This window comes from Homo sapiens, chromosome 7, assembly GCF_000001405.40.
Source record: "Homo sapiens chromosome 7, GRCh38.p14 Primary Assembly".
NCBI classification, from domain to species: domain Eukaryota; kingdom Metazoa; phylum Chordata; class Mammalia; order Primates; family Hominidae; genus Homo; species Homo sapiens.
In genome coordinates this window covers 142,177,374-142,199,023 of record NC_000007.14, presented here as the reverse complement: position 1 = coordinate 142,199,023, position 21,650 = coordinate 142,177,374, and the positions used below count along the sequence as shown (strand labels likewise).

The following is a 21,650-nucleotide window of genomic DNA, read 5'->3' as shown; positions in this document are numbered from 1 at the left end:
CAGTGTGGAAAGAGAAACATTTTTCTGCCTTCAGGAAAATTTTTGCCTTTGATACAGCACTACAGACAAAAATATATGTGTGTATATATATCCCTAAGACTAACTTTATGAACTCATCTTCCTCCGAGTCCCACTCAGAAAGCACTCACAGGATCTGACCAGTAAAGCTGTTTGGCAATTTAGTTTATAATCCACATATCCCTGGCGAAGGTGGGACAGCCTCCTGTAAGGCTTCCTCATTACGGTATAGCAAGAGGCTGTTAGACATTGCCTCTTCTCCTCACCTGGAGTGAGTGTTCATAGCAGGCTCTTGCCAGGGCAGGATGTAGCCTCCTCTGACATGAAGGTTGATGTGGTCAAGGGGAGCCTTCAGGATTTTCCTCTGACCTGTTGATGTGCTGCTAGTTCCCTAGAAAGGAGAATACAGGCAAAAAATGGCGAGAGATAAATATATTAAATGAGAGCATGTTTTAATTACAAGTCCTTCCTTTCCTGGGAAGCATGTTAGAAAGTCAGCAAAAGACTGCAAACCTAAAGAGAAAATCTCTGATCTTTCAGTTTTGCTTAAGACTGAAAATCTAGACTTGTCTTTGTTTCTCCAGAAAAGTTGAGAGGCAAGGGCAAGGGTGAGGGGGGAGCTTCAATGAGATGTAGGTGCTTAGATTTCGTCTATGCTCTTATACATGCTTTCATTTAAACAAGCCTTGCCAAGGCTAAAAAGGTCAAAATTATTGCCTTAGGAAATATGTGCTTGGAAATAGAAGGCTCTATCCACCTCTCCACCCTGCATAGACCAAACTGGTTCTTCACAAATATATTAGTTCTTACCGTGCTATAGTCATACCAACGGGCTCTCGGAAAATAAGCAGAGATCTCAAATGTGCTCTGAAACATAAAATTGACATGTCATTATGAATATTTCAAAAAATATTTTTCATTTTCATTTTCAAAACACTGTAGAATTAAGATAAAAAATGAAAATTGTATTAGTGATTGCAATAATTTGAGGGATTTTATTAAGAAAAATCCTGAAAAATTATTCCTCAGAACTACAGAAAAAACTATTTTTAAAAAGTAAATGACAAAATTTTAAAATGAGAAATCAGTCAGTGTAGTAAAGCTTTCATTAACAGAGAGATCTTTTAAATAAAAGAAAAAGATCTCCTGTAGATGTTCTAGAAAGGCATTCGCCTGAAAATAGTGAGCTGGACAAAATAAGATGATCTTTAAAATGCTTTTCCCATGATTTTAGATCATGTGATTGAAGGTTTTCTGACCTACAATGAAGAACTCACAGTTTCCAACACAGGGCTGATTAAGATAGCAGGGCCCAACATGAACTGACGGTCTATATCCCATGTTGTCCTGTCATCCGTAAACCTTAAAAAAATAAACAGGAAAAATTCACCTATCCTCTTATGACTGCTACAGAGGATTATTTGCAAGACATGCTTGGGGAAAGAGGCTGTACTCACTCATGGAGAAGGGGCCGGACAACTGTGCTGCCCTCAACGTGAGCTTTATGCATCAGAGTATAGAGATAAGGAAGCAGGGTATATCTGGTCTCTAGGACTTTTCTGGACAACATCTCAAAGGTTGAATTCCAGGCCACAGGATCTTGTCTCTGTAAGGATAAAGAAGCATATAATGGATCACCTCTTCTTCATTCCATCCCAGTGGCATCAGAAAAGAATCAATGGGCATTTATTCAAAATGTAGGTTACAAGCCACTTACCCTTTCATTCCTGGCCTACCCTTTCCCCCATCTCTGCCACCCTACAAAATTAGAATTTCTTGCTTTCTCCTCTTTATCACTGATTCCTAAGTCCCTGGAATAGGTCCAGCTCTGGCCCTCTACATGTGTACAGAGAGAGGTTTCCGTGCAGCACCAACATATCTTCGATGAATTTGAGTAAAATACAAATTCAATATTCTTAAAAGCAAAGGGATCTTCTTTCATTTTAGCCCCATGTGGAACTATAAAAACCTTTCCTCATGGGTAGTAATTCTCCAGGAGATGAGAAAAGGTATATTTCTAAAAATTACTGATAATTCCAGAGTTCTGAACTCTGTGGATTTTCCAAGAAATTAAGATTCTGGTGATGTTTTTTGATTTTTCTCAGGAAATGAGTATAATAGTCCTGGGGGTTAAAAAGAAGTTATGATTTGAGGGTACACAACACCTGGAGCACGAACTACTGCCTCACCCTTGTCCCGATGTTGTTGTGGTTTCTGGAAAATGGATAAAATGCCCCCAGTTGCATCCAGCGAACACACATCTCATATTCAGCATCTCCAAAGAACCCACAGATATCTGCTCCTGTCTGAGAAGATGCATAATGAGAGCATGAGGTGGGAATTTCATGAGGCGCTGACTCACTAAAATCTGACTGGGCAATTAGTAATGGTCTGAATGTGACTTACATAAGGTATTCCAAAGAGACTGAACTCCATCATGCCTGCAAAGAGAAGACACAGCTGTGTTGGAGGAAGGAGCACTTTGGGAGGAGAGTGAAGGCTTGGCCTGATTTTTCCTTACCCCATTAGAAAGCCCTGGACCATGATGAAAATATTAAAAGATGGGTGTAAATTAAAATCCACGCCCAGAGAGAACTCAGTTCTTGTTAATTTTACCACCCACCTAGATGATGATAGAGACATAACCAGTGCTGTTGAACAGCACAAACTCCAGTGCCCTCCCTGCCAGCACAGGCCCCTGGGAATGAGCCCACACACCAATGATAGATTTCCCCAGCTGGTCCCATGCAGCTGTGTTGTTTCCCAACCGGTGTCCTCCCCAGCGTCCAGAAGAGGGAAATGTGGAGCGGGTGATGATGACCCCTCGCTGTCCTGTCACCTCCTGCACAGCTCTGGTGGGAGGGGAATAAAGAGGTGAGTTGAAGAAACAAACTCCTTTACAGAGAATAACTGCAGCTTGGAGCATGAGAGGGTGAGGGTACTTCGGTCCGAGTCAGATAACTTCTTCCCTGAAAGAATCTGCTGTCTCAAAGCCATGCTAAAGATCCCAACAAACTTCACAGCAAGACTAGAGGTATATCTGCACGTAGAATGTGGGTTTCATTTTTGAAAAATCTGGTTAATTAACTATCACCCTGGAGTAAGAGAAAGGGGTGGGAGTGAGGCGTAATATAGCTATTTATGGAACAATTCCTCTATTCCAGTATTATACCGGTCACTTTCCTATGTGGTGTCTCATAACATCATGAAAAGGTTTCCTTGCACTCCTTTTACTGTTAGGAAGCTAAGATTCAGAGAAGTTAGAAAGGCATTCGCCTGAAAATAGTGAGCTGGACAAAATAAGATGATCTTTAAAATGCTTACCAAAGGTCATTTAAAGGGTAAAGAGGTCTGGGTGTGGTGGCTCACACCTGTAATCCCAGCATTTTGGGAGGTCAAGGTGGGTGGATCACTTGAGGTCAGGAATTCAAGACCAGCCTGGCCAACATGGTGAAACCCTGTCTCTACTAAAAAAAAAAAAAATTAGCCGGGTGTGGTGTGCATACCTCTAATCCCAGCTACCCAGGAGGCTGAGGTAGGAGAATCACTTGAACCTGAGGAGATGGAGGTTGCAGTGAGCTGAGATCGTGCCACTGCCCTTCAGCCTAGGTGATAGAGCAAGACTCTGTCTCAAAAAAAAAAAAAAAAAAAAAAAAAAAAGAGTAAAAAGGAGGCCAGGCACAGAAACTCACACATGTAATCCCAGCACCTTGGGAGGCCAAGGCAGAAGGACTGCTTGAGGCCAGAAGTTCAAGACCAGCCTAGGCAACACATTGAGACCCTGTCTCTACAAAAAAATAAAATTAGCTGGGCAGGGTGGTGCACGTGTGTCTGTAGTCACATGGCAGACAGGGGAAGAGGGAAAAAAAGAATAAGGAGGCAGATCTGGGATCCAAATAAAAGCTACAGCATTTTGGAAATATTCACTCTGCTTTTCTGTACCTCAAAAAGCGAGACATGTTTTGCACACAGAGGCAAATATACATAAAAGATGTTTATCTTTCAGTGGAAGATGGATCATCTGCACGCACCCTTAGAAAATAACAACAACTGTGTGAGGGAAAAATCAACTGAACAAAAGAGAAAGTCTACTAATAGATCCTAGTATGTATACAATCCAAGTATTTGCTTAAAAAAGCATCACAGATCAATAGACACAGATGAATTAGTCAATAAATGATGTCAGGAAAAGTAGCTGACTACTGTTGTGTAAACTAATCCATTTGGGTTATTTCCAATTTTTCACACCAAAACAAATCCAAAAATGAATGGAAATACACACACACACACACACACACACACACACACATACACACATGTTCTATTAAAACTGAAAGAATATATAAACCACCTGATTTCTACAAGAGAAAGGAATTTCAAATAAAAACAATGGACAAAACATAATGAAGTAAAAGGTATAGATTTAACCATACACAAATTGGAAGAATGCATATGTATGTATGTGTGATAAAGAAATGGGGGTGAGGATAGCTTAGATTTTTATAACAGTCTAGATGAGAGATAATGAAGGCCTGGAATAAGGCAGGAAGATAGAGTAGTGACTGATGCAAAGAACTGAGTCACCAACTGAAAGCAGGAAAAGAAAGAGAATCTAGGATGACCTAATGACTAGTTAAACTTGGTTCCTTTCACTAAAATAAAGAATGCTGGAGGGGCCGGGCGCAGTGGCTCACGCCTGTATTCCCAACTCTTTGGGAGGCCCAGGCAGATGGATCACCTGAAGTCAGCAGTTCGAGACTAGCCTGGCCAACATGGCAAAACCCTGTCTTTAATAAAAATGCAAAATTAGCTGGGCATGGTGGCATGCAACTCTAATTGCAGCTACTAGGGAGGCTGAGGCAGGAGAATTGCTTGAACCCAGGAGATGGAGGTTGCAGTGAGTCGAAATCGTGCCACTGCACTCCAGCCTGGGTGACAGAGCGAGACTCCATCTTAAAAAAAAAAAAAAGAAGAAGAAAGAAAAGACTGCAGGAGGACAGGTTTAAGGGAGAGATAAATAGTTCAACATTTTAAGTATTAGATTTGAAGTGCCTATGGGACATCATAAATGAGACAGCTATGGGCAATTCTAGGTTTGAGGCTCAAGAGAGGTTTGGGTTGGGAACAAAGATTTGGGGGCCATCTGAATCCAGAGTGTATTTAAAGCCAGTAGTATGTGTTTGTGCTTATCCAAGGGAAAAGCTACATGGTGTGAAGAAAAAAAAAGATGACTGAACCCAGGTGTGGAAGGAGCATAGGCTTGGAAAGACTGGGAAGGGAAACCTGCAAAGGAGTTTGTGGAACTGTGGCCAGAGAGGTAAATGCATAAATATCTGGAATCTAGGTTGGAAAGCACAGTCAAGATCCTGAGAAACTAGCAAAAGCACACAGAGCATATGCAGCAGGGCATATTATGAACCTCAATATTGTGAACCTCAAGGTCAGCAGAGGATGTAGCATGAAGGTCAGCAGGGAAGAGTCAGTGAACAAAACTGACCACTGATGCCACAAACGCTGAGCTCTCCCATCAATGCAGGCACTCAGGGCTGACAAACAAAGGCATTTTCATAAAAAGAAATAAAAATGGTTCAGTGCTTGGACAGAAAAGAGCAAAGAAGACATGGTCTTCTCCCCAGGTGTGTAGAGGAAATAACTTAAAATGTAGAACATACTGTCAGGTTAGTAGTTAAGAGAAGGAGGGAATTAGGAGGGATGGAGTAATCTGAGCAGGTTTCATGAAGGAAATAGATGTAAGTTGGTCTTTAGATTGTATGTGCTAAGAGATTAGCCTGATCAAGGTCAGAATGACCAGCATTTGTGATTGGTAAAGGGAGAAACATCAAGGTGTATGGGAATTAAAAAATATATATATCATGTATGGAAAGAGTTCCTTCAAACAGCTTGAATATGAGAGGGAGTTGAAAGATTAGATGATGGTTGGAGGAGGATATAGGCAAAAGCAAGAACAACTGGGGCATTTTCAAATATTGATGAAAAGGAATTAAAAAATATTGCTAATGTTTGTTGAGTGCTTACAATATGCCAAGTACTTGTGGATTCATTATATCATTTAATTTTTATATTAACAATAGATGCCATGATTTTTCCAATTTGAAAGATGAGAAAGTTTAGTTAGAAGATTTCACAGCCTAAATCCTAAAGCAATATACCAGCAGTGAGGAAGAAGATAAAAAATAATTCATGAAGAAACGAGCACCCATGGAAAAGTATAATTTGTGGAGCAAGCTTCTCTGAAGAGAAAGATGGCGATGGGATGCAGATGTGTGAAAAGCAAATTTCCCTGAAGAGAGAGGAGGGGATGGTGCATGGGAAAGTTGAGCTTTTGGTAGAAACTTTATCAAGTTTTCACATCTTCTTATTGCTGCTTTCTTTGCCCTGAAAGCCCCTTCTTTGCCAAAAGAAAATTTCTACTCTTCTTTTAACCAACATTCAAACATCACTTCTTCTATGAAGACTTTCTGGATTATCCCAGTAGAGTTAATTGATTTTCCCTCTCATGTTTGACTCCTATAATTAGACAATGAGGTCCTTGAAAGCAGGGACTGTGACTTATTCATCCTTGTACTCTTCCAAGGTAAGGTTATCTCTGAGGTTGCAAAACACCTATTTGTTTTGTGTGTATTTCATATAATGACATGGGTGTTTTCCTGAAGAACTAGTTTTTCCTTGGTTGGAAAAGCCTCAAGCTAGGTGTGGAAAGCAAGACTGTGAAAGAGCAACTGAAAGATGAAGATGTAAAGAAAGTGGGAAAGGGAAGAAGAATTTCTGTTTGGAAGACCATGTTGCCCCTGATTGTGGAACACCAGGGGCAACATGATACATCACCTGTTGATAGCCCAAAATCAAATAGTATGAGGTTCTTGTAAACTCTGGGGACAGAAGGCAGAGAGCTCAGATACTTGAGCAGAAAGGGGCAGTTGAACAGAAAAGATCACACTCTGTCCTGGGAAGAACTAAAGAACAAGTCTGAAATTTCCCAACGACATTGGAAAGTGGCAAAATCTCAGAAGGATAAAAGAAAAGACAAAGGGACAGATAAATATTTATAGAAATAATGGCCAAAAACATATACATTAAAAACTAAAAATAATTGTTGAAAAAATTAAAGATCTAAATAAGTGGAAAGACACCTCATGCTAATGAATCAAAAGAGACTTAATATTGTTAACATGGTAATACTCACCAAACTGATTTATAGACTCAATGTAAAAACTATCAAAATCCCTGTTGCTATTTTGTCAAAACTGACAAAGTGATTACAAAATTCATATCAAATGCAAGGGACCCATAGTAGCTAAAACAATCTTGAAAAAAAAATTGGAAGAGTCACACTTCATCAATTAAGACAGTGTGGTACTGGCATAAGGATATATATATATATAGAGAGAGAGAGATCAATGAAATAGAGTTGAGAAGGCAAAAATAAGCCTTCTCATTTACTGTCAATTGATTTTTGACAAGGTGTCAAGATAATAAAATGAAGGAAAGAATAACATTGAACCACTACCTCACACCATACACAAAAATAAACTTAAAATGGATGACAGATCTTGGTGTAATACCTAAAACTATAAAGCTCTTAGAAGAAGACATAGGAATAAATCTTCATGACCTTGAATTAGGTAATAGTTCCTTGAATATGACACCAAAAGCACAAGTGACAAATGAATAAGTAAGTAAATGAATAAATAGGACTTTATAAAAACTTTTAAAAATGTGCTCCAAAAGGCATGGTTATGGAAGTGAAAAGTTTACAAAATGAGAGAAAATATCCTCAAACTATATATCTCATGAGAAGCTTGAATTTAGAATATTTAAAGAATTCTTACGATCCAATAATTTTTTTTTTTCTGTAGAGATAGTCTTACTTTGTTGCCCAGGCTGAAGTGCAGTGCCATCATAGTTCACTGCAGCCTCAAACTCCTAGGCTCAAGAGATCCTCCTACCTTAGCCTCTCGAGTAGCTGGGACTACAGGCATGCACCATTCTGCCTGGCTAGTTTGTTTGTTTTTTGTAGAGACAGGGTCTCATTATGTTGCCCAAGCTGCCCTCGGACTCCTGGACTCAAGCAATCCTCCCACTTCGGCCTCCCAAAGTACTGAGATTACAGGTGTGAGCCACCACGCCTGGCCACAACTCAATAATAATTAAAAAAAATGATTCTATCAAAAATGAGCAAAGGATTTGAATAGATATTTGAATATATACAAATAGCCAATAGCATATGAAAACATGCTCAATAACATTAGTATTAGTGAAATAAAGTGAAAACAACAATTAGATATCACTTTACCCCCATTAGAATGTCTATAATTTAAAAAGATGAATACCACCGAGTGTTGGCAAGGATGTGGAGGAACTGCAACTCTTATACATTTTATCATACATGCAGGTAAGAATGTAAAATGGTAGGCTGGGTGCGATGGCTCATGCCTATAATCCCAGCACTTTGGGAGGCCGAGGCAGGTGGATCACCTGGGGTCAGGAGCTCGAGACCAGCCTGGCCAACATGGCGAAACCCGTCTCTACTAAAAAATACAAAAAAATTAGCCAGGCATGGTGACTTATGCCTGTAATCCCAGCTACTCGGGAGTCTGAGGCTGGAGAATCACCTGAACCCAGGAGGAGGAGGTTGCAGTGAGCCGAGATTGCACCACTGCACTCCAGCCTGGGCGACAGAGCCAGACTCCATCAAAAAAAAAAAAAAAAAAAAAAAAGTAAAATGGTACAGCCTTTTTAGAAAACAGCTTGATATTTCTTCAAAATATTAAAAATACAGTTCCTATATGACACAGAAGTTCCACTCTTAGATACATATTCAAAACAAAGAAAACATGTCTACTCCAAATCTTGCACATAAATATTCACATAATCACTACTCATAATAGCCAAAAAAAAAATGGAAACAATTTAGATGTTCACTCATTGGTAGATAGGCAAGCAAAATATGGTGTATCTATATAATGAAATTTTATTAGTCAAAAGAAATCAAGTACTGATACATGCTACAACATAGATAATCATTGAAAACATTATGCCAAGTGAAAGTACCCATATACAAAAGAGCACATATTGTGTGATTCCATTTTATGAAATGTCCAGAATAGGCAATCCACATAGACAGAAAATAGATGAGTAATGGCTAGGGCTCAGGAGGTAGGAACAAGGTAGAAATGATTGCTAATGGGCAAAGGTTTTCCTTTTCGAGTTCTGAAAATGTTCGAAAATTTAATTTTTGTGATAGTTGCACAACTCTATGAATATACTAAACATTACCTAATTGCTCACTTTAAATAGGTGAATTTAGTAACCCACTTGATAAATGCGCTCAGAGGTGGTTGCTTGGGCAACCGTGCCTGAAATTTTGACTTTAACCCATTTAACTCGGATCACGTAGATACATGCACAATGCAAATATGAAATGGCAAAAGGAATGATGTGGAAAATTATCTTTGCTGCTGTGACAAAAAGACACTCACTCGTATGTGGGTCTGGTCTGGGACCACCCGTACAGGTTGTGCACGTTGTAGTGCTCCACGGGGGAGCTGTCCGGCAGGATCTGCTGACTCTCCATGCACAGAGTCTTGCTGCTCAGGCCCTTGTCCCTAGATTCCAAATCTGAGGGGAAATGTTGAGTTATTTCCTAAACAACATGATTTGCACATTCACTAGAAATGCCCATCATTTTGGCATTTCTTTACTTCAATCAACAACTTTGTTACCAGTAACAGACCCAATTTTATGAGGTTTTAGTCTATAGAAAACAATGTTCTGTGTCTTTATAACTAATGAAGGGTAAGGATAAAATATGGAGCTGGGAAAAGCAGCTCCCCTTCTTTTTGCACCAACTCTGATTTAATTTATAGAGTGTTGTCATAGCCCTTTTGCCAACATAATAAACTCCTTCATTGTTAGGACTGTTTCTTCCACTAGATGGTAATGTTCTCCAGGGAATAAATCTATTTCAATCATTTTTGTATTTGTGTCTCTAAATCTTTCTGATTTGACAGCATTTGCTTGATACATAAGTACAGATGATCCTTAACTTACAATGTGATTATATCCCCATGAACCCATCACAAGTTGAAAATACTGTAACTTGAAAATGCATTGAATGGACCTAACCTACCTTAAATGTGCTCAGACACTTACATTAGCCTAAGTTGGGCAAAATTATCTAATACAAGGCCTATTTTAAAACAAAGTGTTGAATATCTCTTGTAACTTATTGAACACTATAGTGAAAGTGAAAAATAGAATGGTTATTTGGGCTCTCAAAGTTCGGTTTCTACTGAATGCATGTCACTTTCTTACCATTGTAAGGTTGAAAATCATAAGTCAGACCATTGCAAGTCAAACACCCCCTGCATTAAATTAATGAAGGAGAAAATGAATGAATGAGTGAGTGAGTGAGAAATGGGCAGCATAACAGTGATGTAGACATCAAGAAACTTGAATTCTAGATTCTGTCCCATAGATTACTGGTATAATGCCTTTTGTTGTTGTTGTTTTTCTGGTTTTTGGTGTTTGTTTGTTTTTTTTTATGGGTCTCACTATGTTGCCCAGGCTGGTCTCAAGACTCAAACTCCTGGTCTTAAACAATCCTCCCACCTCAGCCGTGGTACAGTACTTTTAGAAGTGAGTCATTTCCTTCCTTGTTTCTCTGCAACACGAGAAGATTCAACTTTCTGAGATCCTTTTGATACCAACATTCTATTTTTGTTTGTACCACAGAATGACCAAAAAGTATCCTTCATCAAATGTCTGTTTACATGGGCAGAGAGACTTCAGAAACTAGGTTTTAATTCTTTAATCAAAAGAACATCTCTCCACGTGTGTGTGTGTGTGTGTGTGTGTGTGTGTGTGTGTGTGTGTTTAAGGGTTTATTTAAAATTTTAGCAATCTGTTCATAGTTATCAATGGAATCAAATGTACCATGCATCGTTTGGTTTCTTTCACACCACATCATGTCATTATTTCTTGCTTGATTAGTTTAGCTGCACTTATTCAAGGTTATCTTACTTGGGATTTCATGTCATGTTGGAGAATGGTTTCTGTCTTCAACATTAGGCTTCACTTTGACAGTAAAAGGAAAACTTTTGGAGTCTTTGAGTAGGAAAGTAAGTTGATGAAGTAATTATTTTACATACATGGCATATAGGGTGGGTTATTTAGCATTTCATTGCTGCAGCCCCTGACAGATCCATCCACAAAATTTGATGGCTCATTCATATCCTGAAATGAGTTAACAAAAAAAGATCTCGTCATGTCAGGGGCAGGATGGCCTTGGCTATAGAGGACACTAACTCAGGGAGATGACTTTTGAAGCCCTCAGCTCAGCTGGTGGTTTAGTTCACTGTGTTTAATTCCTGGCACTGACCCAAATGGACTCTAAAAATGTGTAGTGTAATCCCTGGCATTGACCCAAATGGACTCTAAAAATTTATATCGGCCAAAGTGGAGTGCTAAACTCCTTGCTTACCTGGCATTTTAAAACTTACAAGGATTGTTTTACAGTGGCAAAAATAGTGAGGTAATGCTGGACACAGGACCTAAGGAAATCTCTTGATACAACTCCCCTTGATACAACTCCCCAACAGAGGTAGCCCATCTTGTTTTACTACGCATGGATTATTCACTTTTTAGTCTATGGCCAGAGGTTACTATTATCTTCCTCTATTTTTTCTTAGTCCAGTTGCTTGGACTAATTCTGATATTGGCATAGGCCAAACACAAGGAGAGTTATCTCACTTTCTGCTATAAATATATTTCTAAAAAGTTATATGTAACTCAGAAACAAGTTTGGAAATAAAAACATACTTTGGGGAATTTGTTACTTAAATGCAAGGAGTAGGGGCTCCTAAGGGAATGTTCACTGTGCACTCTGACAATGGAAAAGTTAAATTTTCGAAAGCCAGACTATTTTAAATAGGACATACTAAAGGCAAATGAAAGTACTTGAGGAACTATTCATTACTTTGAATTACCCAGCTACAGCTTTCCCTCCATTGGAAAAAAAAAAAAAATACTACCCCAGAGCTATCAGCATCTCTTATTCTCAAAGCTGCCCACAACTCTCCACTGTCTGATTTGCCTGTTTGAGTTAATTTGTGTCCTTTCACATGTCTATTCTGTGCCTAACTATCTCAAAGGTGCGGGTGGTCAGGGAGGCCCCTGTGTTTTCAGTGGACTTTTGTCTCTGGAGTGAATCACAGACTTCTTCCAGTCTGACCCAGAGCTGAATAGCTCTTCAGAGCTGGCCTAGAGCTTGCTTAAGATTTCAGGCCACTGGACAGTGGGGAAGGAAATCAGGACAGAGGAAAACATAGATAGAGCTGCCCTTGGACATATATCCCAGGGACATCTCAGGAAGTCCTGCTTTTAAGGCCAACTGGCATTTACAGCAAACATCTGAACAGGCCCTTTAAGCCATTCCCTCAGAGTTGTCTGCCCCAGTACTATGGCAAACGTCTACTTGCTCTCAACTCCATGCCTCACCCACTCCCAGCTCTGCCCTGTAAGACTCCCTTACAATAAGCTTTCAGGTAGATTTGGCCAGTGGGTGATATTGGCAAGAGATTGGAGATGGGAGGTGATTTCTCCCTTTCTCTTTTGCTCTGGCATCTCCAGCAGTAGCAGTCTCCTCTGTGGGCTCCAACATCCACCAGACAATATGTCCCTGGGCAGATCAGCAATGATCTCTGCTTCTCTTGGTCCTAGCACCTAGATTCTGTAACAGCACCTAGATTCTCCCTTTCATCTCTTCAGCCCTATGTCTCTGCTTTGCTAGTCTCTCCTCCCCATGTTTTGACTTGCTAACATTTCCAAAAAAAAAAAAAAGACAACCAAGGGTGCACTTACAATCCACAATCCATCAAACTTCAAGCTCTTCTCTGGCTCTCGAGGGTTTGCATAGAGCTCTTCTATCTCTTTCTTCCACCACGCAGCTGTGCTATTACGAAAGAAGTCAGGAAAGGCAACGTAGGCCCTGTAAAGCTGTAAGAATAACACACACTCTCATTGTCGGGGTCTCAGCCTATACAGGAGACCACAAATGGGAGATGAACAGGAATTTGTGCCTGCCCAGATCAGTCTCTGCTCTAATCTCAGATCTGCTGCTGTTGCAGAGTTTACAACAGAAGCAGAGATTGGGGAAGGCTGACTTCATTCTTTATTTTCTTAGAAGAAGGTTAGATAGCTTTATAATCCCTTTCAAATACAGGATTTGTTTAATAACTGGACATGTAATCACAAGACTGGAAAATTAACAGTGTCTGAACAATTGAACTTTAGAGATGCAAATACTTTTTCTTTTTTTTTTTTACTTAAATATCAGTGTGATATTAGCAAAAGCTTTTTCCAGACTATTCAAATGAGATGAAGGAGGACTGTCATCCAGGGGCAAGTGAACTCCAGAGTAGAGGGGATGCTAGATGACCAGGCTGAGATTAACAACTTTCCTTCATTCAGCTGACTTGTATTTTCTTTTGTATGCAGATAATTTATTAAAATCCAGTCTGTTCATAATGGATTCCCCTCTAGTGAGAAAATGCTAGACTTTGGTTCATTATTTTTCAAGCGTCATAAAGTTCAAACAAATCACAGCCCATTAAAATCACACTTATGAGAGGATTTCATTGATGATTTCCTTCTACACATTTCCATGTTCGCTGTTTGTTGAGCTTTCCACTCGAGGATCTCTTTCTGCCAAGAAACTAACAGTGGATAAGCACCCTCAAGTTAGGGCTACTTAACTGAAGGGTTAGCTACTTATTCATCAGGATAAAAAATGTAAATATCCAGATGTTTAGGGCAATGTTGACAAAAATCTATATACAACTGTACCTTAACCTGAGTTTCATGGTCAAGGGATCCATCTACAATTACATTAGGCAGATCTGGCCAAACCTAGAGAAAAAGAAGGGCAATTAAAACCTTTACAGATCCTTGCATACAGACTATGAGATATTTCATGTGTTAGACTCTGATGACAGGCATCTCCATGAAACGCTTGGGAATCTTTGCCATAAATTAAACTGTAAAGGCTGAATCTACAAAATTACATTAGGTGAAAGTAGGCTGGGTCTCTTGATTCATTCTATGTTTTCAAAATTCTATTTTTGAATTTAATAATTAACTGAATTTCTTTTAAACATATCCTCTGAACAACCAACTTTCGAGTGATTTCTCAGATCTCTGATCTCCTTGTCACAGACCTATAACAAAATTCATAATAAGTATGAAGTGTGACTCTAAAGAAATAAGATTGATTTCCATTCATAACCCATACACCTCACCTCAATACTTTTAAGCACTATCGTGACTTATAGCGGACTCCAAGTATATGTAGCATTAAAAAATCCATAGTACCAACTAATTTTAGCTGTAACTACCAGGACATTAAGTATATACACACTGATTAATTGATTCAATCAACAGACACTTACTAAGTACTTCCTATATGACAAGCACTCTTCCAGGATCTGTATTTACTGAGATTTAAGTAAGAAATAGTACTTGTTTCCTAAGAGTTCACAGATAGTACATAAATGCTACACTGTATGCTATACTGAAGGCAATATTACAGACAAGGGAAAATAGGAAAAACTAAAATAGTTACTAACTGCTTCAAACGAGGTAAGATTTGAGTTGATCTTGAAGTGAAGATATTATCTGGGTAAGTTGAGAAGGTAATATTCAAAGTGAGCACAGGGCCAGGCACAGTGGCTTACGCCTGTAATCCCAGCGCTTTGGGAGGCCGAGGCAGGTGGATCACCAGAAGTCATGAGTTCGAGACCAGCCTGGCCAACATGGTGAAACCCCATCTCTACTAAAAATACAAAAATTAATCAGGAGTGTTGGCACACACATGTAATCCCAGCTACTCAGGAGGCTGAGGCAGGAGAATCGCTTGAACCTGGGAAGAGGAGGTTGCAGACAGCCAAGATCATACCACTGCACTCCAGCCTGGGTAACAGAGTGACACTCCATCTCAAAAAAAAAAAAAAAAAAAAAAAAAAAAAAAAAAAAAAAAGGAGCCTGGAATACATCCAGAGCAGTAGGAAGTAGCATAGTATAATTAAGGAAGAATTCGAACCTAGGCTAAAAGCTATTATCACCTGAAGTCCACCTAAAATGCTATTGCCAAAAATCAGACATATAAAGATGAAGATTGAAGCCATAAAGACGAATTAAAGGAAACAAGAGAAAGAGGAGAATCTATAGGACTTAATGATTCATTTAGATATGAAGGCAGATTAAGCATGATAGGTCAAAGGTGAACGCATGTTTTGCATGCAGGTGTCTGGGAGACACAGATTTCAGTGTCATTCTCAAAGGGATTCTTAATGTTTGTTAATGACCATGTGGAATAAATAAAGAGTGGGGACATCAGAGTATTTCCAGGCAATAGACAGTGCTCAATAATAATAGAGGATGAGATTTGTAACCTTGGTCTTATTAATGCTTATTGAGCTAATCAGCATCGGACAGATTTCTACTCATTCATAATTTATTGATTGTCCAATATATTTTCCAATGTGTATTGAGAGCTGTTTTATTTCAAGACATTGTAATGTTAATTAACTGTAAGCATCTTCCCCAAGCCTTACCTTTCCCCAGACAATGTCATTGGTGTCAGGCCATTTGATGAACACGTTATTTTCCTGTCCTCTAATGAATGGGAGATACTGTGTCTCATTGCCAGAAATGGCTGGGTCCTGCAGTAAAAGAATTTCAAACAGCAAATGTGAGGAAAACATCTCTAAGAAAATTTCTCTCCAAAAATTTAGTAGTTCATAGTGCAGAAGGAAATGGTGAATCTCAATACCAAAAATAAAATGAAATAAAATAAAAATCATTGATAATTTGCCTTATGTCTTACTGCATATATTACCATAGCCAATTGAAAAGGGATGGTGCCATGAGTACTCAAAGTAAGATATAAAACCCTTATGAGGGGTAATCTCTTTCAAAGGGTATAAGAATCTGTGCCAACAAATGAAGGAGCCTTTCTATACTACAAAAAGTTACCACCCCAACCTGTAAGTAATAAAATGAGAGGAAAGGGGACAATATGGCCAGCTAGATGCGGCTGGGAAGCACCTCTCCCATGGAGAAAAACCAAAATACTGAGTAAACCATTACACTTCAAACAGAGCTTTTGAAAGATAACACTGCCAGTCTATAGAGAGGCAATGCAAACACTGAGGTGTAAGAGGGAGAAAGCTGGAAATCCCACATAGAGTTGCTGAGTGCCGGGACCAGCTCCTGGCACTGAACAGGTCCCAAGGAAGGAGTGAGTGAAGGGAAACTTGCACTGCAGACATCTGGGATCCTAGCTACAACAGACCCCACAAACACCATAGACATTTGAATTGGCAAGAGAAACTGCCTGGAGAGTAGGCAGAGGCAGAGCTCAAGCCTGTGCGGAGACGAGAAGGTTCTGCATACAGGGCATCTGCAGCAAAACACGACCATGAGGACCCATCTGCAAAGGCTCTCCATCTTGCTCTGAGTGGCTCTAGCCCCTGCTGACAGCTGAGCTGGGAGACAGCAGCGTTGTCTTTCCTACAGAACAAGGGTGCATCTGATCTGCATGCCACCCGTCTGCCAGCCCCTTCCAAGGCCACTGCTTGGCTGCTCCCAAAAGAGAATGCACACAGCACAGCCTCCACTGCCCCACCTGAGTGCTTTGCTGGTGGCCTGGAAGTACTCTGACCCCCAGCAGAGCCAGTGCTGGACCCTAAGGCCAGAAAACAAAGCTGCAGGCCCAGTACCAACCCACCAGGGTTTAAGCACACAAATCAGGATTATCTAGCTGAGATCTGCGGCTGAGGCTTGAGTAGGGGAGGAGCCCCACTCTCAGAACACTGAGAAGAGTGAGGTATGGGCTTGTGTGCTGGTGTGGGAGTTGGGCATGCCTCCCTCTGCCAGACTGGTCTGGGAAGGATGTAGCCTGTTTACCAGCCACAGACTCTGCCCAAGGGAGCTCCATAGCTCAGAACATCCAACAGACCAACAATCTGGGTGCAAAAGGTTTGGGACAAAACTAGCTTGTCAGGGCAGCTACTAGAGCAGACATTGGAAGGAGACTCAGTTGGGGGAGAGCAAGCTGAGAGGGCCCCAAAGCCATTTGCTGTGCAGAAAATACTGGATCATGGCACCATATCAGCTGCACCCCTACGGCAACACTGCAGTGCCTGGGGATCTTCTGCCCTTGACCCACTGCGTCAACAGATCACCCCCAGACATACCCCACAACCCACTCTGACTCTGCCAAGTACAGAGGACCAACAGGGAGCTGCAGGTCTCATGGTGACTTGACCTTTGGCTCAGGCTGTCCCTAAGAGGGAAGAGCACAGCCTGTCAGGGACGCCCTTGGGGCTAAGGAAACATAGGCATGATATCAGTGATTAGAGGAGGCTCCCTCAAGCACCAAAAATGGACTTGGGAAGGGGGCCATCTCTGGATCCCCCATCTCCCCCACCCCATAGCACTACTGCAACTGTGCTGAAATATGAAAGAGGCCTGCAGCTGAATAAGAGGCTATCTTCTGGCCCTTACTCTTAAACACCATCTACTGTATCGCAGCCTAAATTACACCACCAAACAAAAAGGGTGCCTGTGAAACCCAATGCAGGAATTCAGCCACAGATAAATATCTCTTAAAGAGCCTTGGGCCTCTGAAAGCACCCAGAAATGAAGCCAATCAACTATACTCAACATACACCACAGTCAAACCCTCAAGGAAAATAAAGACTATAAAAACAAAAAGCCATATCCAAAAGACAGCGACTTCAAAAAGATAAAGGAACATCTGCCCTCTCAGATGAGAAAGAATCAGCACAAGAACCCTAGCAATTCAAAAAGTCAGAGTATCTTCTGACTGCCAAACAATTTTACTAGCTCCCCAGCAATGGTTTCTAACCAGACTGAAGTGGCCTAAGTGACAGATACAGAATTCAAAACCTGTATGACAAGGACACTCAACAAGATTCAGGAGAATGTTGAAACTCAATTCAAAGAAGCCAGTAAAATGATCCAAGAGGTGAAAGATAACACAGCCATTTTAACTGAATGGCTAAACTGAACTTCCTAAACTCAACTTCTGGGATTAAAACAAAAAATTATAACACAATTGCAAGTATTAACAACAGAATAGACCAAGCTGAGGAAAGAATCTCAGAACTCAAAGACAAGTCCCTTCTAAACAACCCAGTCAGAAAAAAATTTTTTAAAAATAATTTTTAAAAATGAACAAAACCTCTGAGAAATATAGAATTATGTAAAGAGGCCAAATCTATGACTCATTGGCATTCCTGAGAGAGAAGGGGAAACAAAAAATTATTTGGAAAGCATATTTGAAGATATTGTCCATGAAAATTTCCCCATTCTTGCTAGAGAGTTCAACATGTGAATTTAAGAAATTCAGAGAATCCCTATGAAATATTATGCAAGATAATCATCCCTAAGACACACTAGGAAAGTTTATAGCCATAAGTGCCTACATCGAGAAGTTAGAAAGATCTCAAATTAACAATCCAACTTCACATCTAGAAGAACTATAAAAACAGGAACAAACTTACCCCAAAGATCGCAGAAGAAAATAAATGATCATAATCAGAGCAGAGCTAAACAAAATTGAGATTCAAAAATCCATACAACAGATCAACAAAAGCAAAAGCTGTTTTTTTGAAAGGATAAACAAGATTATAGGCCATCTGCTAGATTGAGAAAAAAAGAAAGATACAAATAAGTATAATCATAAATGACAAAGATGACATTACACCCAATCACACAAATATACAGAATATCCTTAGAGATTTTTATGAACATTTCTATGCACACAAACTAGAAAATCTAGAGGAAATGAATAAATTCCTAGAAACACACAACCTCCCAAGACTGAACCAGAAAGGAAATAACACCATAAACAGATCAATAATAAATTCTAAAATTGTATCAGCAATAAAAAGCCCACCAACCAAAAAAAAGTCCTTAACCAAATGGATTCATAATAAAATCCTACTAGATGTACAAAGAGCTGGTTCCAATCCTACTGAAATTATTCCAAAAGACTTGAGGAGGGATGCCTCCCTAACTGATTATACAAAGCCAACATCATCCTGATATCAATATCTGGCAGAGACAATAAAGAAAGAAAACTTCAGGCTGATATCCCTGATGAACATAGATGCAAAAATCCTCAACAAAAGACTAACAAACCAAACCCAGGAGCACATCAAAAAGTTAACTGACCATGTTCAAGTAGGCTTTCCTCCATAACCCTGAGACGCAAGGTTGGCTCAACATAGGCAAATCAATAAATGTGATTCGCCATATAAACAGAATTAAAAACAAAAGCCATATGATAATTTCAATAGATGTAGAAAGAGCTTTTGATAAAATCCAACATCCTTCATGATAAAACCCTTAAGAAATTAGGCATCAAAGGGAAGTACCTCAAAATAATAAGAGCTATCTCTGACAAACCCACAGCCAACATCATACTGAATGGGAAAAAGCTGGAAGCATTCTTCTTGAGAACTGGAGCATGGCAAGGATGCCCCCTCTCATCACTCCTATTTAACATAGTACTGAAAGTCCTAGCCAGAGCAATCAGGCAAGAGAAAAAAATTAAATGCATCCACACAGGAAAAGAAGAAGTCAAACTCTCTCTCTCCAAGGATGACATGATTCCATACCTAGAAAACCCTAAACACTTTGCCAACAGGCTCCTAGAACCGATAAACAACTTCAGTAAAGTTTCAAGATACAAAATTAATGTACAAAAATTAGTAGCATTTCTATACATCAATAACGTTCAAGCTGAGAAATCTCAAATTAGAAATCTCAAGTTAGTAAGATCTCAAATTAACGATCCAACTTCACACCTAGAAGAACTATAAAAACAAGAATGTTTTTATAGTTCATCAGGAATGCAATCCCATTTACGACAACAACAGAAAGGATAGAATACCTAGGAAAACATCTAACCAAGCAGGTGAAAGAACTTTACAAGAAGTGCAAAACACTGTTGAAGGAAATCAGAGATGACACAAACAAATGAAAAAACATTTCATGCTCATGGACTGGAAGAATTAACATCATTACAATGGCCACGCTAACCAAAGCAATTCATAGATTCAATGCTATATCTATTAAACTACAAATGTCATTTTTCACATAATTAGAAAAACTATTCTAAAATTCACATGGAACCAAAAAACAGCCTGAATAGCCAAAGCAATTCTAAGCAAGAAGAACAAAACTACAGATATCACATTACCCAACCTCAACGTATACTATCACACACCTACAATTATTATCTGATCTTCAGAAAAACTGACAAAAATGAGCAAGAAGGAAAGAATTCTTTATTAATAAATGGTGCTGGGATAACTGGCTCACCATATGCAAGAGAATGGTACTGGACTCCTACCTTTCACTATATACAAAAATTAACTCAAGATAGATTAAAGACTTAAATGTCAGACTTCAAATTATTAAAATCCTAGAAGAAAATCTAGGAAATGTTCTTGACATTGGCCTTAGCAAATAATTCATGGCAAAGTCCTCAAAAGCAATTGCAATGAAACCAAAAATTGACAATGGATCCAATTAAAATAAACAGCTTCTGCACAGCAAGAGAAACTGTCAACAGAGTAATGAGACAACCTACCAAATGGGAGGAAATATTAGCAAGTTGTGAATCTGACAAAGGCCTAAAATCCAGAATATATAAGGAACTTAAATCAACAAGCCAAAAACAAACCATCCCATTAAAAAGTAGGCAGAGGACATGAACAGACACTGCTCAAAAGAAGACATACAAGTGGCTAACAAACATTTGAAAAAATGCTGAGCATAACTAATAGAGAAATGCAAATCAAACCACAAAGAGATACCATCTCACATGAGTCAGAATGGCTTTTGTTGGAAAGTCAAAAAATAGATGTTGGTGGGGCTGTGGAGAAAAGAGAACACTTACACACTGTTGGTGGGAATGTAAATTAGTTCAGGCACAGTGGAAAGCAATTTGGAGATTTCTCAAATAACTAAGAATTGATCTACCATACCACCCAGCAACCCCATTACTGGGTATATACCCTAAGGAAAATAAATTATTCTCTCAAAAAACACAGGTACTTCTATGTCTATCACAGCACTATCTGCAATAGCAGAGATGTGAAGTCAACCCAGGAGCCCATCTATGGTGGATTGGATAAAGAAAATATGGTACATATATATCATGGAATAATACACAGCCATAAAAAGAATGAAATTATGCTCTTTGCAGCAACATGGATGTAGCTGGAGGCCATTATTCTAAGTGAATTAATGCAGGAACAGACATGCAAATACCACATGTTCTCACTTATAAGTGGGAGCTAAGTACTGGGTACACATAGATATAAAGGTGGGAATAACAGAAACTAGAGACTACAAGAGAGGAGAGGGAGGGAGTGGGGCAAGGGTTGAAAAACTACCTGTTTGGTGCTATGTTCACTATCTGGGTAATGGATTCCATCATACTCTGTCATACTCTGATATGGTTTGGGTCTGTCCCTACCCAAATCTCATCCTGAATTCTCATGTGTTGTAAGAGG

The 21,650-nt window shown here is 39.5% G+C and overlaps 1 protein-coding gene across 5 annotated transcripts in view, besides 1 other annotated feature; it reads right to left on the bottom strand.

Annotated features, from left to right (window-relative positions):
* MGAM2 (maltase-glucoamylase 2 (putative)) overlaps nucleotides 1-21,650 on the bottom strand; it is a 110,607-nt gene that overhangs the window by 23,301 nt on the left and 65,656 nt on the right. For all 5 annotated transcript variants that reach the window (XR_927547.3, NM_001293626.2, XM_011516692.3 and 2 more), the window contains 12 exons: nucleotides 15,651-15,758; nucleotides 13,885-13,947; nucleotides 12,901-13,035; nucleotides 11,190-11,274; nucleotides 9,519-9,657; nucleotides 2,737-2,870; nucleotides 2,425-2,459; nucleotides 2,208-2,324; nucleotides 1,476-1,624; nucleotides 1,296-1,380; nucleotides 829-885; nucleotides 285-409 (listed from right to left, as the gene is read on the bottom strand). Coding sequence is in view for 4 of the 5 variants with exons in the window: in NM_001293626.2 (NP_001280555.1) it covers nucleotides 285-409; nucleotides 829-885; nucleotides 1,296-1,380; nucleotides 1,476-1,624; nucleotides 2,208-2,324; nucleotides 2,425-2,459; nucleotides 2,737-2,870; nucleotides 9,519-9,657; nucleotides 11,190-11,274; nucleotides 12,901-13,035; nucleotides 13,885-13,947; nucleotides 15,651-15,758 (1,232 nt within the window). In the remaining variant the exon portion in view is untranslated. The remainder of the gene's footprint in view (nucleotides 1-284; nucleotides 410-828; nucleotides 886-1,295; nucleotides 1,381-1,475; nucleotides 1,625-2,207; nucleotides 2,325-2,424; nucleotides 2,460-2,736; nucleotides 2,871-9,518; nucleotides 9,658-11,189; nucleotides 11,275-12,900; nucleotides 13,036-13,884; nucleotides 13,948-15,650; nucleotides 15,759-21,650) is intronic.
* Nucleotides 1,734-2,933: an enhancer, noted in NCBI's record as "BRD4-independent group 4 enhancer chr7:141895891-141897090 (GRCh37/hg19 assembly coordinates)". NCBI's record gives its function as "activates an origin of replication core promoter dependent on BRD2, P300/CBP, MED14 and CDK7 cofactors, and independent of BRD4, by STARR-seq in HCT116 cells {active_cell/tissue: HCT116}" and the evidence as "EXISTENCE:reporter gene assay evidence [ECO:0000049][PMID:35650434]".